This window comes from Homo sapiens, chromosome 6, assembly GCF_000001405.40.
Source record: "Homo sapiens chromosome 6, GRCh38.p14 Primary Assembly".
In the NCBI taxonomy this organism is placed as follows: domain Eukaryota; kingdom Metazoa; phylum Chordata; class Mammalia; order Primates; family Hominidae; genus Homo; species Homo sapiens.
In genome coordinates, this window is record NC_000006.12 from 163,157,786 (window position 1) to 163,178,399 (window position 20,614).

General features: G+C 42.8%; 1 protein-coding gene across 7 annotated transcripts in view; it reads left to right on the plus strand.

Annotated features, from left to right (window-relative positions):
- PACRG (parkin coregulated) overlaps window positions 1-20,614 on the plus strand; it is a 588,369-nt gene that overhangs the window by 430,654 nt on the left and 137,101 nt on the right. The gene's annotated exons all lie outside the window — the stretch shown is intronic.

The window sequence follows — 20,614 nt, forward strand, 5'->3', positions numbered from 1 at the left end:
TTCCCCACCGTTTGGGCCACTTAGTATTTTCTTCAGTGAACCTTTCTTGAGTGTTCAATAACACTATGAAAGTTGTCATTAGACCAAGAACAAATGAGGTTTAGTTTACTCCTTAGTAGACAACTAATGAACATTACCAAGCTGACAGGCTTAACTCTTGACTTTTCTATTAGGACCTAAAGAATCCATAGAAATGATCTACGGTTCTTGGAAAGAAATGGAAAACAAAATATTTGTGGGTTCATGTGTAGACCCTTATGGATAACACCTCTTTTATTCCTCACCAGGACCATGTGAGGTGGTAGCACTGAGAGAATGGGAAATGCTCCCAAATTCTTAGGTACATGAAGAAAACAAGATTGGACCTTCATCTATGTGTTTTCTGCTTCTGTAGTAAAATGAGGCTGCTGACTGTATTAAGAATTGTACCTACAGGGAGTGGCCACCTTGATTAATGTGTGGGCCGAGAAAGATATTGAGATGGGCATGAGTGGAGAATTATAGTAAAAGCAATCCCGGTGATGAGGAGGAGGGACTGATGGGTTTTAGTAACTGCTTGTGCATGCCTGGTTGAGCTGAACCACGAAACCTCTTTCACCCATCATTACTTGCATCTTAGGATAGGGAATGAGCTGTTTGAGCTGATGAACCCTTAAAGATCAAAGCTTCCATTTTTATGCAAATAGCCAAGAGCAATAAAACCTAGGAAAGAAAAGTAGGGAACGTGAATTACAGTAGGATGTGTGTCATTAAAAGTTACAGCAAGCCGGGTAGTTATTCAGAAGTAAGCTCCCAGCAAGGACAACTTTTCAAATTTGTGTTTTAAATTATTTTTAAATGAGAAGAGGTAATAGCAAAATATAACCCTGAGTTTCATTTGTTCTCTAATACATCACAGTGTTAAGATGATATAAATATGCAATCTTGAATTAGACATTACTAGGAAATAATATTGCACACTGACGTGCCAGGTACCTCCTCACACTGCAGCAGGCACAGGGCTTTGGTGCTGGAAGCTCTTGGAATCTGACTTAAGTACCACTCTCAAACTAAACATGGCTTCTTTAGCTTTTTTTTTGCAATGGAATTGCAAAACCCATTTTGCAGTCCAGGTATTGATCGTGCTGCCATATTATACTGTGGTTCTATGTAAGAAACCACATCCAGATCCTCCCTGAATAGACCTCTATCATGTTGCTTGGAGGTAGAACATGCCTTTAAGAATAAGCTGCTTTGAATGCCATGAGCACAGGTTTTGGAGTGAGAGAGCTGGTTCCAGTCACAGATCTCCTGCTTCCAGGCTGTGTGACCTCAGGCAACTTAGAGAACTTCTCTGAATCCACATTGTCACTGCATACTGTTGTTGTAAGCGTTACATAATGTAACCTTTTGAAAGAATTTAAATGTTATATCTATCTGGCATTTAGCTAGAGTTTAAAGAGTTTAAAGTTTCATTTTAGCTAAGAATAAATACTGTTATTTATTATAATATTAATCTATTATTTATATATGTTATATAATATATAATTTATTATATATTTACATTTTAGCTAAAAATAATAAATGATTTATTATAATATAAAATTTATTGTTATATTAGTTCTTATTTTTAGCTAAAATGAAGTAAATTCATGTGCTGTAAAGGAAGAGTTATTCTACCCTTATTATAATTGCATTTATACAATTTTTAAAAACTGATGCTGAATCTCTAGTGGAAAGAGTACTGGACTGAGTCTTGCATTATGGGTTTTAGTCCTGATTCTGTACTCACTAATTTTTTTCTACCTTCCTCAGCCACTGTATTCAGTATTTAATATAATGAGCGTTCTGGTAAGTTCTTTACATACATTATCTTATTTACTTTTACAAGGTCAGGGGTGACATTGACCCAATTACTTGTCCTTTCTAGGTTCTTCTTCTGCTTTGATAAGGGTGTCGAGTGTTCTCTCGGTCATTTCAGCAATAGTATTCTAAAGGAATACCTCCCACAAATTGTTTTCTAATTTTACTTCGAAGAATTCCAGAGATGACAGTCCTAGGGTGTTCATGACACTGGTAGACACCTTCCCCTCCCCTTCGGTGGCCCCGATCCTCATTCCGCCTCCACCCCCGTGACTTCCTCTCCTGCCTCCTTCCAGGATGGACAACCCACGCTCAGCCCCACTCTCTCCTTGCCAGCCCTGCTCCGACAGAGGCTGGCTTTCCCCATCAGGTGTTGGTTAGCACTTCTCTGTACTTTTAATTATTTTTCATTTTGATTATTTTCGCTGTGTGTTGGGAATCACTATGAGGTAGAGAGAACCATATCAAAGACATTACTCTGCATGGGTCTGTCCTCTGTCAAGTCCAAGACATGGATTCATTGTCATCTCTTATATTTTTTGGACACAAGTTTGATGAGGTTTCTTAATTTTGACAGTTAATGCTTCCAAGAAACTTAATAAAGATTCTACAGCCATTTTAGTAACCAGGGAACTACAGTGGAAATATATCTCTGAGTAATAAAATCCATCCCCTGGAAGCTGTCACCAAAGACTCAATAATCATGTTCGCCACCCAGCATCCTTTCTGGACCTCAAGCTGTCTTGTCAAGTGTGCTTAATATCCAGGATATTTAGTTTACCACAGAGTTAACTCAAGTATATTTGTGTTCATTTCCATGCAGGATTTTGCAAGTCACCAAGACTTAAGATAATGGAGGTTTTGACCTCTAGGTGAACAATTACTTTCTTTCTTTTCATGTACTGAACTCATGAAAATATATTGATGAATTAATAAATGGCATACCTTTTATACCAAATTTTAACAAAACAACCTTAAAAGAAGCTTGAATTGCTGCGTGGACAATATGGACATCATGATAGGAAAGTAAGGCATTTTAGTAATTAAGTTAAACAGCTATTTTGCCCCCATAACTCAGTTTTCCTTCCAATTTTCCAACCCCAATTCAGAATTACTGAACCTGAAACTTGCTGAGAAGAATAATATGTAGTCAGCTTAATTTCCCCCCTTGAATATGCTTAAGGGAACAAAACCCTCTCTTCTTGGAGGAATTCCCACCATGGTCTCTGGTTTTTCCTTTCCCCCTCAGCTACCATATTAAGCATTTACTCTCTTGGGCATTCTGCTAGGCTTCTTGTAAATATCATTTTATTTGCTCACAAGCACTTTATGTGAATATGAGGCACCTGGAGCCCAGAGCTACTGCACGCCCAAGGTGACAGTTAGGAAGCGGCAAAGCCAGGATTTAACCTGTGTGTTAGAAGTCCATGCTCTCATCTGTTGCATTAGAAAATGTGCTGCTCTTGACATCCATCTTCCGGGTCATGTAATCAACATCACGTATACTTGGCTCTCTGTTACCTTTTGCATTTCAATACAATCCCATAGCTTGGAGTTCAAGGTCCTCCAGGATTTCAGTCTTACCTACTGTCTCCACTTTGTCATTACTCCAGAGGTTGAATCTTCATCAGGAAGCCTAAGGTTTTTATCCCCACCGAGATGTGCCTGCCATATTTGCATTCTTGATAAAAACCTTATTTAGGATTATTCATTTTCAAATCTTCAAGTGGGTGAACTGTTGTTTGGTTTGGGTTTGGTTTACTGTGTAATGTGATGCCTCGCAGAACATGCCATATTAGGGCATTTTGATGTATTCATTTGTTCAAAGACTGGATGCATTCCTTTGTACTGGCCTGCACATATATGTAACCAGTTCCTTCTTGATGGACATTAGGTTATTTTGAGGATCTTGCTATTGAGAACCATATCATAACTTATATTTTGTACACGTGCGTATATTTTGTGCACTTGTGTGTATATATCTGAAAAATACAGTCTTAAGAATAGAATGTGCATGTTTCATTTCGAAAGAGATCAACCCTGACCCCCTCCAATCCTCCAGAAGTTGAAAAGGTTGTCAAGGTCCTCATTTTCTTAATTTGGTGTTTTACGTTTGGGTGTCCTCTGACATCGGGGTTCAAGTGAGTTCATTCCGTGGCTCCGTTGCACTACCCAGCACCCAATAGCATTACTAAAAGCTGAGTGGACCTCTCAAAATCCAGGGGCTGCTTGTCGAGTATTTAGAAAGGGATTGAAATTGTAGGCATGTGTTTGTTGTAGCCATAAAAGTATCTTCTCAAATGTATTTGCATGAAATTTTAAGTAAGTCTAGATCTTTTGAGTGGAACAGACTGATACATACCTGCCAGAGAACAGATACTGAGGAGTCAAATACAGCTCATTAGAAGACACACAGAACTGCATGGGGAGAAAACACCTGTCCCACAGCCTTGGGTATGGGGCTTGCTGGAGCCTCCACATCCTGGACTCTGCTGGAGGAAAAACTGAAAGTAACCCGCCAGCTGCCAGGGCCCACTCCCAGCCTGGAGAGCCAGGACAGCCAGGTCTCGGCAGGTGCTGACCTACAAAAAGGACGGTCCTGCTAGGTGAAGTGTGGTCAGGGAGAGGCAGCTGCAGGTGATCTTGGAAATCAATGCTCATTAATTATCAACGTGGCTAGTAAAGCTCTGGTGGGACCTTGGTTCTCAATCCTGGCTGCACGTTGAAATCACGCGGGACGTTTTAAAAGTTCTGATGCCAATTTCTAATCCCACTTGTTGTGCAATAACCCCAATCCCCCTCAAATGCCTCCAAATAATCTGAGTCACATGTGCTTGACACAGGCTTTTCAGCTTTCATTTCGTTTCTGCCAATTTCTTCCTCTCCTGCTCCATCTGATGCCACAAGAGAACAGCCTCTGGATTGGCAAGTGCAGACTACCAGAGTGGTAAATGCTTGCCCAAGAAAGACCCCAGTTCACACGGTCAGAGGGTGATTTTCTCCACCTTTCTAGACCTGCAAGGATTCAAGTGTCACATCTGGAGCTTAGCTGGGCAATTTTGCAAGCTTCCCAGGTGGTACATGCAGCCAAGGCTGAGAACAACTGTGGTAGGGCTGCAGCCAGGGTGAGGCCCACTGGGTCCAGCCCCCAGAGCTGGCAAGAGCTGGCCAGCCGTAAAGGCCCCAGCAAAGCAGGGCATGGTGGTCTCTAACTCTGACTATGAAACTGGTGATGAAGACAGAGCCAGTCCTTCTGGTTTTCGGTAGCACAGTAGGGTTGTCAAGGGTTGTCAAGGGCAGCACAGAGCCAGGGAGGTGGAGCTGCTGTAGGACTCACCAGAGACCACACAGCAAGGCAAACTCCAAATCGATCAGCCTGGCTGCTAATGGAATCGTGTCCTAACCAAGTTTCGTTAGGAAATGTGTGCAACTTCGCTGCAGGGCATGGCTCCAGCTGGGAGGGACTGCAGGAAATCAGGACCTGACCCACCTTTTTCTTTCCAATTAAGTGGATCCAGCCTGTGTACACCACCGGGGATGTGGCTGGCAGCTCCCACCTAGGGGTTTTCAACTATTGCCACACCTACTTGCTAATTCAGCTGCTTTATCAGCTCCACATGGTTTTTTTTGTTGTTTTTTGTTGTTGTTGTTGTTTTCTTTTCGAGACAGAGTCTCACTCTGTCACTCAGGCTGGAGTGCAGTGGCATGATCTCGGCTCACTGCAGCCTCTGCCTTTAGGGTTCAAGCGATTCTCCTGCCTCAGCCTCTCCAGTAGCTGGGATTACAGGCAACTGCCACCACGCCCGACTAATTTTTGCATTTTTAGTAGAGGCAGGGTTTTGCCATGTTGGCCAGGCTGGTCTCAAACTCCGGACCTCAGGTGACGCGCCTGCCTCGGCCTCACAAAGTGCTGGGATTACAGGCGTGAGCCACCGTACCCGGCCTTCAGCTCCACTTTTGAGCTAGATTTAAATGCCGAGGATTTTATTAGTATAAAAAATAATATTGTCCATATTTTTGTATCATGTTATTCTTGTATCTGTGTTATTGTATTTTATTAATTTAGAAATGGTTTATGAGTCATTCAAAAAGTGTTCAGTAGCATATTAAATATTGAGATTATTAAGGCAATTTATACCCAAATAGATTTAGACCTTCAGTCTGAATTTCTTTTGGTATAATAACTTTTATTGTAAAATACAAAGGTTGATAAATAATTGTGAAGATACATTTTCAAAGGGAAAAAGAATTTGTAGGCCTGAATTATTATTTTAAATCTATAAATAATATATTTTACAGATAAATAGATATTGCGATTTGTTTTTAAGCTGTCATGAATCAAAGAACAGCCTTTCTCAGATAAGCAGAAATTGATTAAAATAGACATGATTTCAGATTTTTATTTATATTATTTTTCTGTTCTCATGCCTAATCATGAAGTTCTACAAAGTTCCACATTTAAAAAAAAATGTTTGGCTTAAAAAAAATAAGATGTAAAATATTTGTTTTTGAAAACACTGAGGCCATATCAGGAAGGGTAATTGGGAGGAAAAAATTAGGTCACAATGAGTAACAAAATAGTATTTGTTTCTGTTTTCACTTGCTCTGCAATAGCCATAATCTCCCTCAAATTCCTTTCGATATCTCAGTCACATGTGTTCATGGCACAGCCTTTTCAGCTTCCATTTGGTGGCTGCCAATCTCTTCCTCTTCTGCTCCATCTAACAAGAGAATATCCTCTACGTTGGCCTCTAAACTAAGTCCCCAGTTCACACTGCCAAAGTGTGAATTTTCTCCCAGGTCTGGACAAGACTCTGCCTCAATTCCCATCCAGCCTCTATGTCAGTCCACACTCAGTGGGCGCTGGGGATGGTTATTAAGGGACCTCGGGCTCTTCCCTCGCTTGAGTTAAGAAGCTGCATAGGAGAGAGAGTAGAGCTACCTTAAGATCTCTTTGAACCTTTCACTCCTCCAGGAACGATGCGGGCTGGATTGCAAAACTATCAGATTAACAGATAATACAGTTCTCAAATTCATTCCACCTCTCAGCCACTGGCCCGTTTTTGGGGCCTTAGTTCAAGCTGGGCCCCCATCACACTTGAATTCCAAACATTGTGAACTAGATAGGCCACATGGTTTAGAGACAGAAACCTAGATTTAAATCCCAGTTAGTAGCGTTAGCTGAGTGGCCTTAGGCAAGTACCTGAACCATTCTGAGGTTCAGGATTCTGACTTTATTTCCTGGCAGAGCTCCTGTGGTGATTTGGTAAAGTCATGCATGCTCAGGGTATGTATGTATGTACATGAACCAAAGATGCTGGACAAGGGTTTGCAATGGTGACTTTTTTTTAACAGAGGTTAAAAAGCCAAAAGCATGTGTTGAGCCTCTCCTAGGTGCCTTACACGTATGTTAGGGTCTATGGGGGTTTAAAAAAAAATACTAACACCAGGTCCCTATCCCCAAGTGCCAACACTCTACCAAGGACACGCATGTGGCAAGTGCTACATGGTCTCACATACAGAATGCAGACAAAAGCTTTAGAAAGGTCTGATGAAGAAAAGCCCTCCAGAGGAGTGACAGTTTCTGGAGATGCACGTTAAGTGCTGTCTAGGGCCAGGAACAGCATAGCAGAGGCACCAAACAGGGAGGCCGCGCTGCCTGCGCAGGAAACGGTAAATGGTTTGGTGGAGCCAGCGTGGGGCAGGGGCTGGTAGGGGGCGCTGAGGACGGCAGAACGGAAAGGGCCCTGGGGGAGAGAGGTCTGACTACAACCCAAAGAACGCACCAAATCTCAGTGAGGAACCGCGGATGGGGAGTGACATCACTCATCCCATCAGCCAGTGGATATTTATTGGTTGCCTGGAGGAACCAGTACCAAGAATACACCCATAAAGGGGTCAAAGCCCCACCCCTGTGGAGACCCCTGTCTCAGGGGGAAAAAGGGGAAATGGCCACAAACCTCCATCCTTGTGATAAGTGTTGAGATCCGGGTAAGCACAGCGCACTAGGGTAACCCAGGGGAGAGGCGCTGGCCCAGCGTGGGGTGAGCAAGGAGGGGGCTCAAATTCAAGCCTTCAAGTCGGTTCACCCTGTCCAGGCTTCGGGAAGCTAACTGGAGGGAGGGAGCCTGGCAGAAAGGGGAAAGCTGGGAGGAGAAACATCACTCAGAGGCCTCTGTGACGGCCCAGGCGAGGGGACCAGGGAGGCCTCATTTAGGACAGTGAAGATGAGAATGGGGCGACAGGGGGAGAGAACGAATGAAAGGGCTTCATTGCATCTAAGGCACCATTAGCCATTCTTTAAAAACTTCCTTCAATACAGAATTATTTTTAAAACGTTATGATTCTAATATAATACAATTTCTCTTATTTGAAATCTTCACTGGTTTGCCCACAAGCGCCCCGATTTCATCTAAATCCGAGTGTAATGAAAGACAGATGCATTGTTTGGAGTAACACAGAAGCTCCAATTCCTCGGCTGCAGGGCTTGGCGCGGGGTTTCTGGGCAGCGTCGCTTGCGCCCGGCACATGTGAAAGGGTTTTGTGCTCGTTTCCTCTGCATCTGCCGAGGGCAACACTGAATCTGTCTTCTCTCCCTGCTCTCCTCTTTGACTGTTTTGTTTGTTCCATTTGCCCTGCTCAACAACAACAACAAAAAAATGTAGATTAGAATCGGCCCTTTATTTCAACAGCAGTGAAAGAATTATTTTGTTAATTGGTATATTGATACCCCAAGAACTGCTTACTGTGCCAAGTTATTAAGAATAAGTAGACGAGGGGCAGATTAAACTTTGAATCACCTGTTCCTTTGGGCAAAATACATAAACCAAATTGACTGCAACCAAATGTCATATTATTTACATGGCGTGCACAATTTATTTTCTAAAAACGTGCTCAACAAAAGATTTGAATTTGCTCTTAAGCGTCTAATGGATCCCACTTAATAGTGAAGCTCTGTCATGTGCCCTTCTGTATAATTAAATCATATGGAAAAATGTCACAAAGCAAAATAAAATGTATTTATTTCAGCCATATCTTCCCAAAGCATGACATGAAGTCTGAAAAAAGAATCACTAAGCATTTTTATGCCATCTGTGCTGGTAGGGGATATGTTTACCAAGTATGTCACTGTAAAATATTCCATTTTGAATTAAGCATAGTCTACTTATTACTATATAGTGTCTGGCTGAATGAGTATAAAATTGGACAAAATTCCATATCTGACAAAATACTTTTTATTTGTTATTTTGTTGCAAACCTAGTCCACCGTAATGTCCTTTACTGAATTCCAAGAAATCCAAAGAAAGAATCATAGATTATATTTGTGTTAAAAATCTGCATGCTTTTCTATCCAAATAAAGTTCAGATCATCTTTTCCAACAGTTGAAATTATAGCTTCTCATTAGCAGAATATGTCTCACTGTGACAACTTGGATGATGATGCTATTGGGTCTGTTAATCTCTATTGCAAAAGGAGGGCTAAAATGTCTGCACAATCAAAAAAGCTGTTGTTCCAGTTTGCTGGTAAAACACAAAGTTATATCCATTATGATTTCTACCTACCAGACAGAAGAAACCTTAAGCTTATAGTTTGCCATTATTATGATTAAATTTTATGAATACTTATAGAATTTTTATTTCCTATATGCGATAAGCCCTCTTTGTAGTTTGTTAATGAGATGTAAAAATTCTGTAAATTTTTCGGAGGGCAGTTTGATCGCCTCCAGAAAGCATCAGAGGGTCGCAGCTTAATCACTGATTCATTAAGTAACCCTGATCTATGCTATATCCTTCAGGGTTCTTTGCCAAGTTGATATATCATGGCATTGTTTTGAGACTCATGTGAATAATAAAATGTAACATAGTTTAGAAATGAAAATACTTTATAACTATGTTGAGCTCCTTCTAGTTGTAAATCTTCCCAAGTCAATAATATTCATATCAAAATTTTCAAATCTAGCTAAATGAAGGAGATGTGACTTGGTAAAAAGTAATAACATAAAATTGTATCATTTTGATCATGATTAAACAGGAAAGCTATTATTTTTCTAAAATGAAAAAAATAGAAATTTTAGTTTGTCATAGAATCAAGGGCTAGATTCACTTAATAAATTGTCTTGATTCTGCTCAAAACTCTGAAAAAATTTAAAGCTCTGTAAGGTTTTTGAAGTCCCACTTCCTTTCAAACCAACCCTGCTATCTCCTTGAAGCCATTTTTGACAATAACTGCCTGTGAATGTGATTTGTAAACTATTAGACAGCACACAAAAGTGAACTGCTGTCACTAATCATATAACTATCATTCAGATTGTGGCAGCTACTCTTTCCGATAGTTCCCATAGGTTTCCAATTGAACATAGTATTTTTTGCTGCGGTGTTTGTTTTATCAATTGATTGTATGTATTTTCATATTATTTTGTACACTGTCTTTGAACTTGACCTTAAATATTTTCTGTCCATGGCATATCCCTTGATGTGATTACAGGTCAAAGTCCACATCATAGATGCCTAAAGTATCCTGTAGGAAAACAGAATGGGCACTCCAATAAACATTTATTAAAGCATTTGGCCGGGTGTGGTGGCTCATGCCTGTAATCCTAGCACTTTGGGAGGCTGAGGCAGGTGGATCACCTGAGGTCCAAGACCAGCCTGGCCAACATGGTGACACCCTGTCTCTACCAAAAATACAAAGATTAGCTGGGCATGGTGGCAGGCACCCATAATCCCAGCTACTCAGGAGGCTGAGGCAGGAGCATTGCCTGTCCCTGGGGCCGGGGTTGCGGGTTGGGGGTGGGGGTGGAGTTTGCAGTGAACCAAGATCACACCACCTCACTCCAGACTGAACAACAGAGCGAGACTCCGTCTCAAAAAAGAAAAAGAAAAAATTGTTAAAGCATTGCATGAAATCTGCTTTAACTCCTATTCTAATAAAACAACAACAAGAACTCTGAAAATGACTTTCACCATAATTAGTTGAAAATGTTACTTTCCTTTGGCCCAACTGTATGTAATTCATTATTATATCTATGTCTGAGACTGAGTGTGGGTTTTCAATATAATCAAACGAAAGACCACCTTTACCAAAAGAACAAATTTAAAGTTCTTTTATTCCTGTGAACCATATTCTCCAATCATCTACACTGAATATTTTAAATGGGAATTTTTGAAGTGTTAAATATTTATCACCATGTTTTTCTTTCCTCATTTATATGGAGTACTGGAGCTTGTGGCCATAATATTCTAATGCAAAATATGGATCAACTTTCAGTCTGAAAGTTTGAAAGTTAATACACTGATTTTACCACCTGCAAAAGATATCCATATTTGAATAAAAGCGACCAGAAGTGAAGCTAATCAATTTAATAACACATGCAGTTATTTCCTCTTTCTTTTAAAACCCAGAAGGAAAGTGGGGTCCACATGGTCCTAATTGTGTTATTAGTTCTTAGTTTTCCTCTAGGTGCTCTTCTAAGTCTTCTTTTGAGCAAATATCATGAAAAGCTCAAGATGAGAAGCAGTGTTGATTTGAATGAAAGGCTAATCCCAGTTGTCCTTTTTCTAATTGATAAAAACCATGATGATCAGGATGAGTCTCACTGAAGCGTGTATTATGATAAAGTAAACTACGGTTCATGGAGTCACATTTGATGTTCAGGGATCTCATCTGAGAAGGAAAGAGAGCACCTTTCCTCAGCCTGGAGAAAATGAGGCGTCGGTGGGAGCAGGCAGAGCTGCATCTGTCAGTGTGAGTGAGGAAATCCATGTCTGATTTTCCAAAGGAAGTCAAGATTCGGGTCAACTGTGGGGCGAAAGAACAAAGATACCACTGGTGGTTCAGGACGAGAGGTGCGGGTTGGGAATAGCCATGGAGCTGGACGTGTGGTACTGACCAGGGATGGGGGAATTGTTGTTGCGGGTGTGGAACTGGCCCCACTTCACACGGCTGCGTGCTGTGCTCCTACGGCAGCCAGGCTGTAGAGCAGGAATTCTCATGTGACCACTGGTTTGGTTATCCCAGATTAGGAATTAGCAGGAGGAGTGTGGCAAAGGCCATGTCTAGAATGTGCTAGGAGGAGCTGGCCAGACGGCTCAGGAGAGAGAGGCCGCTGGGCAGGCTGGGCGGGGAGGGGCCATACAGACTTGGGGAGCGCCTTCTTCTGCTCTGGTTGCCCAGCCAGCCACAAACTGGGTGGCTTCCACAACACTCGTGTCCTTTCTCACAGTGCTGGAGGCCGGCAGTCCAGGGTCAGGGTGTCAGCAAGATCGGTTTCTCATGGGGCCTCTCTCCTTGGCTTGTGGACGGCCACTTTCTCGCTGTGTCCTCACAGGGTCGTCCCTCCGTCTGTGTGTTGTTGTCTGTGTCCTTATCTCTTTTTATAAGGATTAGAGCCCACCCATGTGACTTCATTTCACCCCAATTACCTCAAAGACACTTCTCCAAATACAGTCACATTTTTCGGAGGAGCTGGAAGTCAGGGCTTCAACATAGGAATTTTAGAGGCTGAAAGGTGACAGTTCAGCCCGTAACCAGAAAAAGGCAGTTGCCCTGCGGGGAAGGGAACTGTTGAGGGGTGAGACTGCTGGAGGAAGAGGAGGCTGTGGCTTAGAGCGGGGAACAAGAGGTCCCCCAAGAGAGATGGGACCTGAGTATGAGTTGAAATGGCCTGTTCCGTGTTGTTCTCACCCTGTAAAATCCCTGAGGGCAGGAATCAGCTTTCTGCATCTCTGGTTGCCTGGCCCACCGTCAGCTCGGAGCATTAAACTATAGGGACTCACCCCTGCTGAACATCAGATTGAGGGTCATGTGCCCGCAATTCTCTCCAGGCACCACTAGAGGGCGAGCCTCCATTTTGAAAACTACCCAGAATCCCCTGCTCCCGCTGGGGTCAGGACCGCCCCTACTCTCTCAAGGACTCACCCTACTCTGTTGTGCCACACAAGCCGCTGCCACAGGGTTCGCCCTGCTTTTATTCTAAATCTTATGGTAGCTTGGAAAGTAGCCTGGCATCTGATAGAAACAGCCCTCAAGTGGTCCAGCTTCCCCCACCTTGCACTGCCGGGCAGTCTCTATTTGCTGTCGATTCCACGCAGTCTATGCATCTGGGTTATTTTCACTTTTCCAAAACCAACTCTCAGCCGATTCACTGATCTTCTACAGGGTTGCTCCAGTTCCTACTTCTTTTATCGCTTAGACCTTTCTTTTTATTCCCTCCTTCATTCTCCCACTCCTTTTCATCTGTAGTCTCTTCTTACCAGTACGAGTCCGTGTTACTTCATTTGTAGCTCCTAATGTCAGCTCATCAAATGAACTATAGTGAAGTAAAAGGATATCGCCTAGTGCTAGGTTATAGCAAAACTCTCAAACAGTTAGACTTGCTTTTCTGCAAAATGTGAGCATGTAGACTTTTGCATCAACTCATAGTAAACTTTAATTTTGTTTTGATGTCTCAAAAGATTTAAAATGCAGGTTCGACCATAATTTTTAAAAGCAAAGTAGAACATGCTGGCTATATTATGAATCCATTCAATGACAAGTAGTATTAGTGACTAAATGATCATTATAATGTAATGTTAGCTGCAGAGAATTTTGAAGAAAGATAAAGAAGCTTGCCACCTAGTAGTCAAGATGAGAAAAGAAAAGAAAAAAAAAATCACAGATCAAAGGGGGAAGTCCCAAGAGAGCATCCCCACATTGCAATAGCCAAGAAGAGCTGGCATTGACTGAGTGCTGACTGGGCACCAGGCTGTGTGTCCACTAAGCCGTTTATCTGCTTTTGCTCACTTATTGTATATCTTTGCCCCTCCGTGAGGCAGGTATGACTGTTCTGCCCATTTTACAGATGAGGAAGCTGAAGCTCAGAGCGGTTAAGCAATTTGCCCATGACCACACAACTATCTGATCTAAAGCATAGGCTCCTATCTACTCCCAATGATGTACCAATCCTAGCACGATTATAGCTCTTCTCAAGTGCAAAAAGTTCAAAATTAATCTAGAGATAAAATAACTTTTCCCCCCAGTTTCTCATGAGAGTAACTAAGCCCTTCCATCAGCTGTGGCCAGCTGGGCAGTGATAAGGTAGTAGATGTATACAGAGGACTGAAAAGAGGAGAAGAAACACAGACAGACTGAAAAACAACTGTCTCCTCCCTGGTGGAGCATGAGCCCATGGGTCGGGACCCTGGACTGCAGCTGGCCCAAGTCGGTAGCACTGCCTGTGGGGACCCCTTCTGAGAGTGTGGAAAAGTCAGCTTTCCCCTGTGAGAGCAGCTGGGTGGGGAGGGGACATTTTCCATCACAGACTCTACCATGGATTTATTTTTATACCAAAATAAACAAGAAGTCCATCAACCTGGCACAAAAGTTAATGGACCTGCCCCCAGCTAGGGCCCTGTCTACCTGGGGTCTGGCCCCGTAAGTGTGCAAATTACAGAACAGGCTTCCAAACATAGAAATATCTTTCACTGTAATCCCAGGAAGCTCTAAGCTTCTACATTTTATTAAGCTGCAGTTATTATTTTAAAACAAGGCCAAGTGCCTCTTGGTATATACTTAAAACCTGCAAATTGCTTTTTAATGTCTCAGACTTGTAGCCAGCATTGGAAATTTCCAGTTCCTCTACCTTGATCAGCTCAGACATTTCCACCCCCTCAACCTAAATGAGCAGACCTTAACTTCACACCTGATTCTCTAAAGAAAGCTACCAAAAATACAACAAAGATGATGGGATTTTTGTTACTTTAATTATTTTAATTGCCAGAAAGTATATTTTGCTTAAGCATTAGGAGAAACAGAAAGTTGCCCCAGAGAAAGCCTCTTTGATTCAGGCCGTGGAATAATTTGTTTTAGTGTACACATGCACACACACACGCATGCATGCACGCACACATACATACAACCTGAGGAGGAGTAAACACTTTTGTGGATTTTTCTTTTCTGGGAAGAAGAATGCAGCGTTCATTGATTAACACAATTTCTTGCTCTCTTGACTTCTGGTGGATCCTGAAACACATGCGAGAACTCACATCTGGGGGCCAGGGAGCTGGGCTCAGGACACTGTGTGACACTAAGAACTGTGCGGTCTCCAGAAAGTTCTAAATGTCATTGGCCTCAATTACGAATCTCTAAAACAGAGACTGGTGTGCCAATTAGGTTTTAAAATATTAAAAAACTTGACCTAATCATTTGAATTCTAGGAGTTAAGCCTAAGGAAATATCAAAGATAGAAAGAGGCTTGAATGCCTAGATATTTTCAATCTGTTTTTAATAATAGTGAAAAATGAAAATAAGTTAAATGTCTACCAATATGAAAATGGCTAAATCATGTTTTGTTCTCATAATGGAATATTATATCACCATTTAAATGAGTGGAGAGTATCTAAGAACATGATAAAATCATCATGGTATAAAATTAAGTTAAAAAACAAGGTATAAAACCATATAATACAGTCTTAGTTGTGTAAAAATATGTGCTTGTGTGAATACACACACGTTAGGAAATACACCTGAGTGGCAATGATGGCTATTTCTGAGGAGGGAGATTACACAGGATCATTTTTCTTTATCCCTCTCTGTTTGCCATCTCTTCCATAATAAACTGCATCATCAAAAAACTAAGTTATTTTGAAAATAAAAATAATGGATTGGTCTAGATTATCTCTAAATTTCTTTACAATATAAACCTCTATTCCACTTATGAACCAATTAAAAACAAATTAGAAAATAACAGGGAGGTTTTGGCATTTCCAAAAACAGTGGCTCCTTGGGGTAGAGACCTTCCACACCTGATCTCATCCCATCCAGGCCAAAACCGTAGAGGATTTGCAGCCAGGGTTATAAAGATACTGCAACCCATTTTAGAAAACGAAGCATGAATGTCCCCCTTAGAGGCATAGGTGGTTTCTCCTCTAGACCATGGCTTGAGGCTTTTGAGCCCTGCAGTAAGGTGGGCTCGTCCTCACTGATGAGAGAATCACGCTCTCCGCTCTCCCCCGCAAGTGGCATATGGTTTTTGCCTCAGGACCTCCAGAACGTGGGTGTGGCTGAAGTTGCTGCTTCCTTTTCCATAGGAAATATTTTCAAGGTCGCCCTCTCCACCCTGAAAACTAGAGGGCACCTCAATGGGTGTCTGCAAGTTCCCAGCTCAGGAGCTTTCACCTCTATTTGACAGGCCCTTCATAAGTTCCTAGTTAAAACCTTGGGGTTAGAGTGTTGGTGCCTTGTCCTCTCCATAGCCAAAGGCATCGCTCTGTGCTCTGGGCTTCAGATGTTAAGGAGAGGTAAATACTAAAGGACGTCATTGTTCCCTGGAGCACGTATCAGCTGCACAGTTATGACTCAAGGCACAAAATCTGAAGTAATCAAGTCGTCCTTTGACTACTCTGTGCAAGAAAATGCATGCCTCAGAAATGTGTAGCCACGCACCGCACTTTTTTCAAATAATTCTACTCAGCTGGAAGTGATTTTTTATGTAGAATATCCTTTCATGATTACTTTAGAGCAGGAATACCCAATCTTTTGGCTTCCCTGGGCCACATTAGAAGAAGAATTGTCTTGGGCCACACATAAAATACATTAATGATAGCTGATGAGCTAAAACAAATTGCAAAAAAAATCTCATAATGTTTTAAGAAAGTTTATGAATTTGTTTTGGGCCACATTCAAAGCCATCCTGGGCTGTATGCAGCCCATGGGCTGTGGGTTGGACAAGCTTGCTTTCGAGGATCAGTTTGCTTTTCAGTCTGGGCATAGAAGAGAGAAGTGGGAACTTCTGAATATGACCCAAAACTTCAGGTTCCCAGTGCCTGGTCATAGAGTCACAGACTCCTTATTCTTTTGAATATCACTTTGTTTTTACCATAGAGAGACTGTATAGAATCATAGTGCAAGAAAGTGCCTTCAAAAATGAACCAGTCTATCTCATTGCCTTCAAGCTAAACCATACCAAAGCCATTGCTAACTAGTAAGTAAGGGTCTCTATTTTAAGGACCATCGCAGGAGAATCCCAGACTCGTACAGAGTTTGTCAATCATCATTGTTGGGAAACTTTTTCATATATTCAACTTAAACCTCTCAGAAGAGTTTGTCAATTTCTTCTTATTCAATTCTCATTCAAGGTGAAAACAGCTGGGCACCGTCTCCATCATCATCATCATTATTGTTACTGTTACCATCACTAATGCCACTGCTACCACCTGAGACACCAAGGACAGTAGGTGCTTTGCCTCCACTGTCTCATTGAGTCCTCACAGCACACGTAAATAAATAGAGGGGTTTTATTTCCACCTTTGATACATGAAGAAACTAAGGCTCAGAAAGACAAAATGTTTGTCCACAGTACAGCTTGTTGTAGCAGAGTCGAAATATCAACCAGGTGGACTTTTTGTACAGGGCCATGTTACTGCGTCATCTACTTTGTATGATTACAAACTTTCTTAATCTCCAATAGGTGAAATTATTTTAGCCTCTCATCCTGTTTCCTAACCCAGAACTCTATACCTCTCAGAAATGGTTGCTGATATCTGTTTGACCACTAGGAAAAGGGGGAACTGGACTAGTATTTTCTACTGCGTTCCGATCTGCCCTCCTAAGATAATTAGGTTTGAGCTGGGGAGGGAAGAACAGCTAACTTTAAAGCTTGGGGAACAATGTCAGCTCCCAAATATCTTAGGGGTGGAGCCATCTGTTTGGGAGGGACCTGAAGAGACTTCTGTTGAAGCTTTGTTTGTTTGCAGAGGGAGCATAGAGTGTTTACTCAAATGATGCATTCATTTGGGGTTGGCTTGCGGGGGAGTGGGACCTGTGAAGGCTGGGGGGAGTGGTTAAAGGACATCACTCCCCCCCAGCCACCTGTGACTCTACTGCTCCTGAGGGATTGTGGTAACAGTTCTTTCTGGTGGGATGCCACTGAGGCTTTCTGGTATCCCCGGGGTTGTGTAAAAGCTCTAGGTGCTGGGAAGTGGTGAGCAGCTGCTGGGGTGCATAAGGGGGAGTGGGGAGGGACGGAATGTCGGGAGCAGGTGAGCTGCAGGTGGAACCAGGGTTTCCTGAGGCCTGGCCTGTGATACTGTGAAACATCAAGGAGTGTGAGTCCAGGGAGATCTGAGCAGCACCTGTCAAAGGAGGAGGAGGAGGAGGAGGAGGAGGAGGAGGAGGAGCTCTGCTTCTCAGGCTCAATTTCCACTGAGGAATCCCAGCATTTTTAACTCATAACCCAAGCTTTTGCCTCTGGGTCATAGTGGATCAAAAGATAAATGGGCCTTTTCAATTTTGTATTTCCAATCTCAGATACTCGAATCATTCCCAATCTAAAGCACAGTTTGTGTTTCAGTTCTCTGGTGCATAGCCCAGGTAATGAGTCTATTCTGTTTATTTATCTAGTTCAGAGATTTGGGCTTCTAGTCAAAGTAACCTTACACAAAGAAACAACAAAACACAAGTAGACCCGTTAAGAGCAATTGTAAGATGTCAGTTTCTCCGTCTTACCTGCCCCCCACCCCCCAACTTGTGGGGGTTTCTTCTATAGTCTGCATAGAGAATCTCACCTTTTCCTTTGAACGGCCTCTTTATTTCTTTAGGCAGTCATGACTGTTCTTGGACACAGAAGGTGATCAGAACAAAGATACTAACACTTCACTGGTTCTCTTTTCCTGCTCACAGTTGCTTCAACAATAAAAATTGTGCAATCTTGATATAAGTCACAAAGTGTAAAACATTCCTATTCTTTCATAAGTGACACTTTTCCCTATTAATGGAGAACAAAGGAAGAAACAACCAGACAGAAGGAAAATGCTCACCACACAGGCAGTAAACTAGCCCCGTTATGCCCTTGACTCTTTTGCTTTTGATTATCATTTGTTTACTCAAATATTTATTGAAACCTACCAGGCTAAAAAGCATTGTGCTAAAAGCTGGAAAAGAAAGAAAGGGGGGAGGGAAAGACGAAGGCAAAAAAGGGGAGAAACTCAGACAAAATTCCTGTCCTTAAAGAGACTGCAGTCAAGTTTGCAAAGTTAACGTATGTGGTAGACCGTGAGAGTGATTCAGATGAAATGCTCTTGGAGCCTGGCTCTAGAGATGAGAGAAGGTTTCCTAAGACATTTCACTTGGACTTCAGACACTGGGCAGGTGGAAGAAATATATTCTAGGCTAAGGAAATAGCGTGAGTAACGTCTTTGAACATAAACAACAAATTTGCAGCCGAAGTTGCATGGAAAAGGCTGGAGAGAGGGAAAGTCAAGAAATAATGGAGGGTGTTAAATGACAAGCCCAGGAATCTGGGACAGTCAGCTGTCGTTGAATACTGACAAATAGGCAAGTGACATCATCACACATGGGCTTCTGTTTGGAGGGGAGTGACAGCCCTCCATAAGGAGTTTAGGGAGTTGAGGTGGATTCAGGTGAGCCAGCCTGGAGACTGTTGCTGTATCCGGGACAAAGAGCAAGAGGCAGAACTAGGACAGTGGCAGTGGAAACTAAGAGGAAAATAAAATGCTTAAAACAGTGCACAGAAATAACAACATAACAGACGCCCCAAGGCACACACAGCTTAGCAGTTAGTTACACATACGGCCCAGGGAGATAGAGACAGACAGAGATATTTGGGAGTGTCCACATGAAACCAGTAACTGGAAATGTTAAACTGAGTACAATTACCAAAGATCTTCTGGTAATGAAGGAAAGTGAGCCAGGAACAGCCCTCTGTTTTCGAGCATGTCCATTTGAGAGAGGGATGGAGACAGAAGATGAGCCTGAGGGTGACTTAGAAAGTCAGAGCTGGGAGGAGAAACCTGGAAGAGTCTCACATCAGAGAAACCTAGGGAACAGAGTTTTCAGAACCAGGGTCTGAGTGACAATGTGGAGAGCTACACAAAGGAAAGAAAATAAAAGACCAAGCGTGAAGAAAGGCTCCAGGCTGTGGAGGGTTTGTGCTCCACAAGTTACAGGAGGCTGCGGGGACAGAAGCCAGGCAACAGGGCCAAGGTGTGGCCTGGGGAGTGACGGATCATAAAGCCCCCTCTCGTGAGAAACTGGGATAATGGAAGGAGAGACTAAAAGAGTGTTAGCTAAGAAATTAGAAAAGGGATTTTTTTTTTTTTTTTTTTTTTTTTTTGCGGGTGGGATTCGACCGTGTTTTTCTGCAAGGAGAAGAGTCTGAGAAACGTGCCCTAGGCCTGTGCAGGTTCCATTCCAAGCACGTCCAAACAGCACACATGCTTCCAAACAGCACACACGCTTCCCTCCATGCACCCCCAGGTGGGAACTGTGGCCACAGGTCAACGCTTCTCTTCCCTGCTGGACCATTTGTTCACCACAGGCACAAATCTGCTCTGTCTTGTTCACCAACTGACACTTAGAAGAGGCTCAAACCTGGTCATTGGCTGGGGACTCAAGACAGAACAAGGAGTGTTCCCACTACCAAGCTTCCAGAACAGGAAGGAAAGTTGGAACGGAGAGCAGACGGAGCTCAGCCAGGAGAAACACGAGGCCAGCTGAAGCCAGTGGGCCTGTGAGAAGGAGGGCTCCCTGCCTGGCACCAGGGCTGCAGTCCCTTGTTGAAGTGCATGCAGAGGCAGGGTCTGGGAATGCTCATTCCCACCTTGTTGCCTCATGAGCACGCCCCATGCAATTCTGGGCACCACCCTCAGCAACAAGACTAGCTCTCAGCCACCCTCACAGCTCGGCGTGGCACGGACGTGCTGATCTTATGGTCAGAGGGACAAGGGGAAGTGCTGCGTAGACTCCAACTGGCAGGGGCGGATCTTTTGTCCTTTC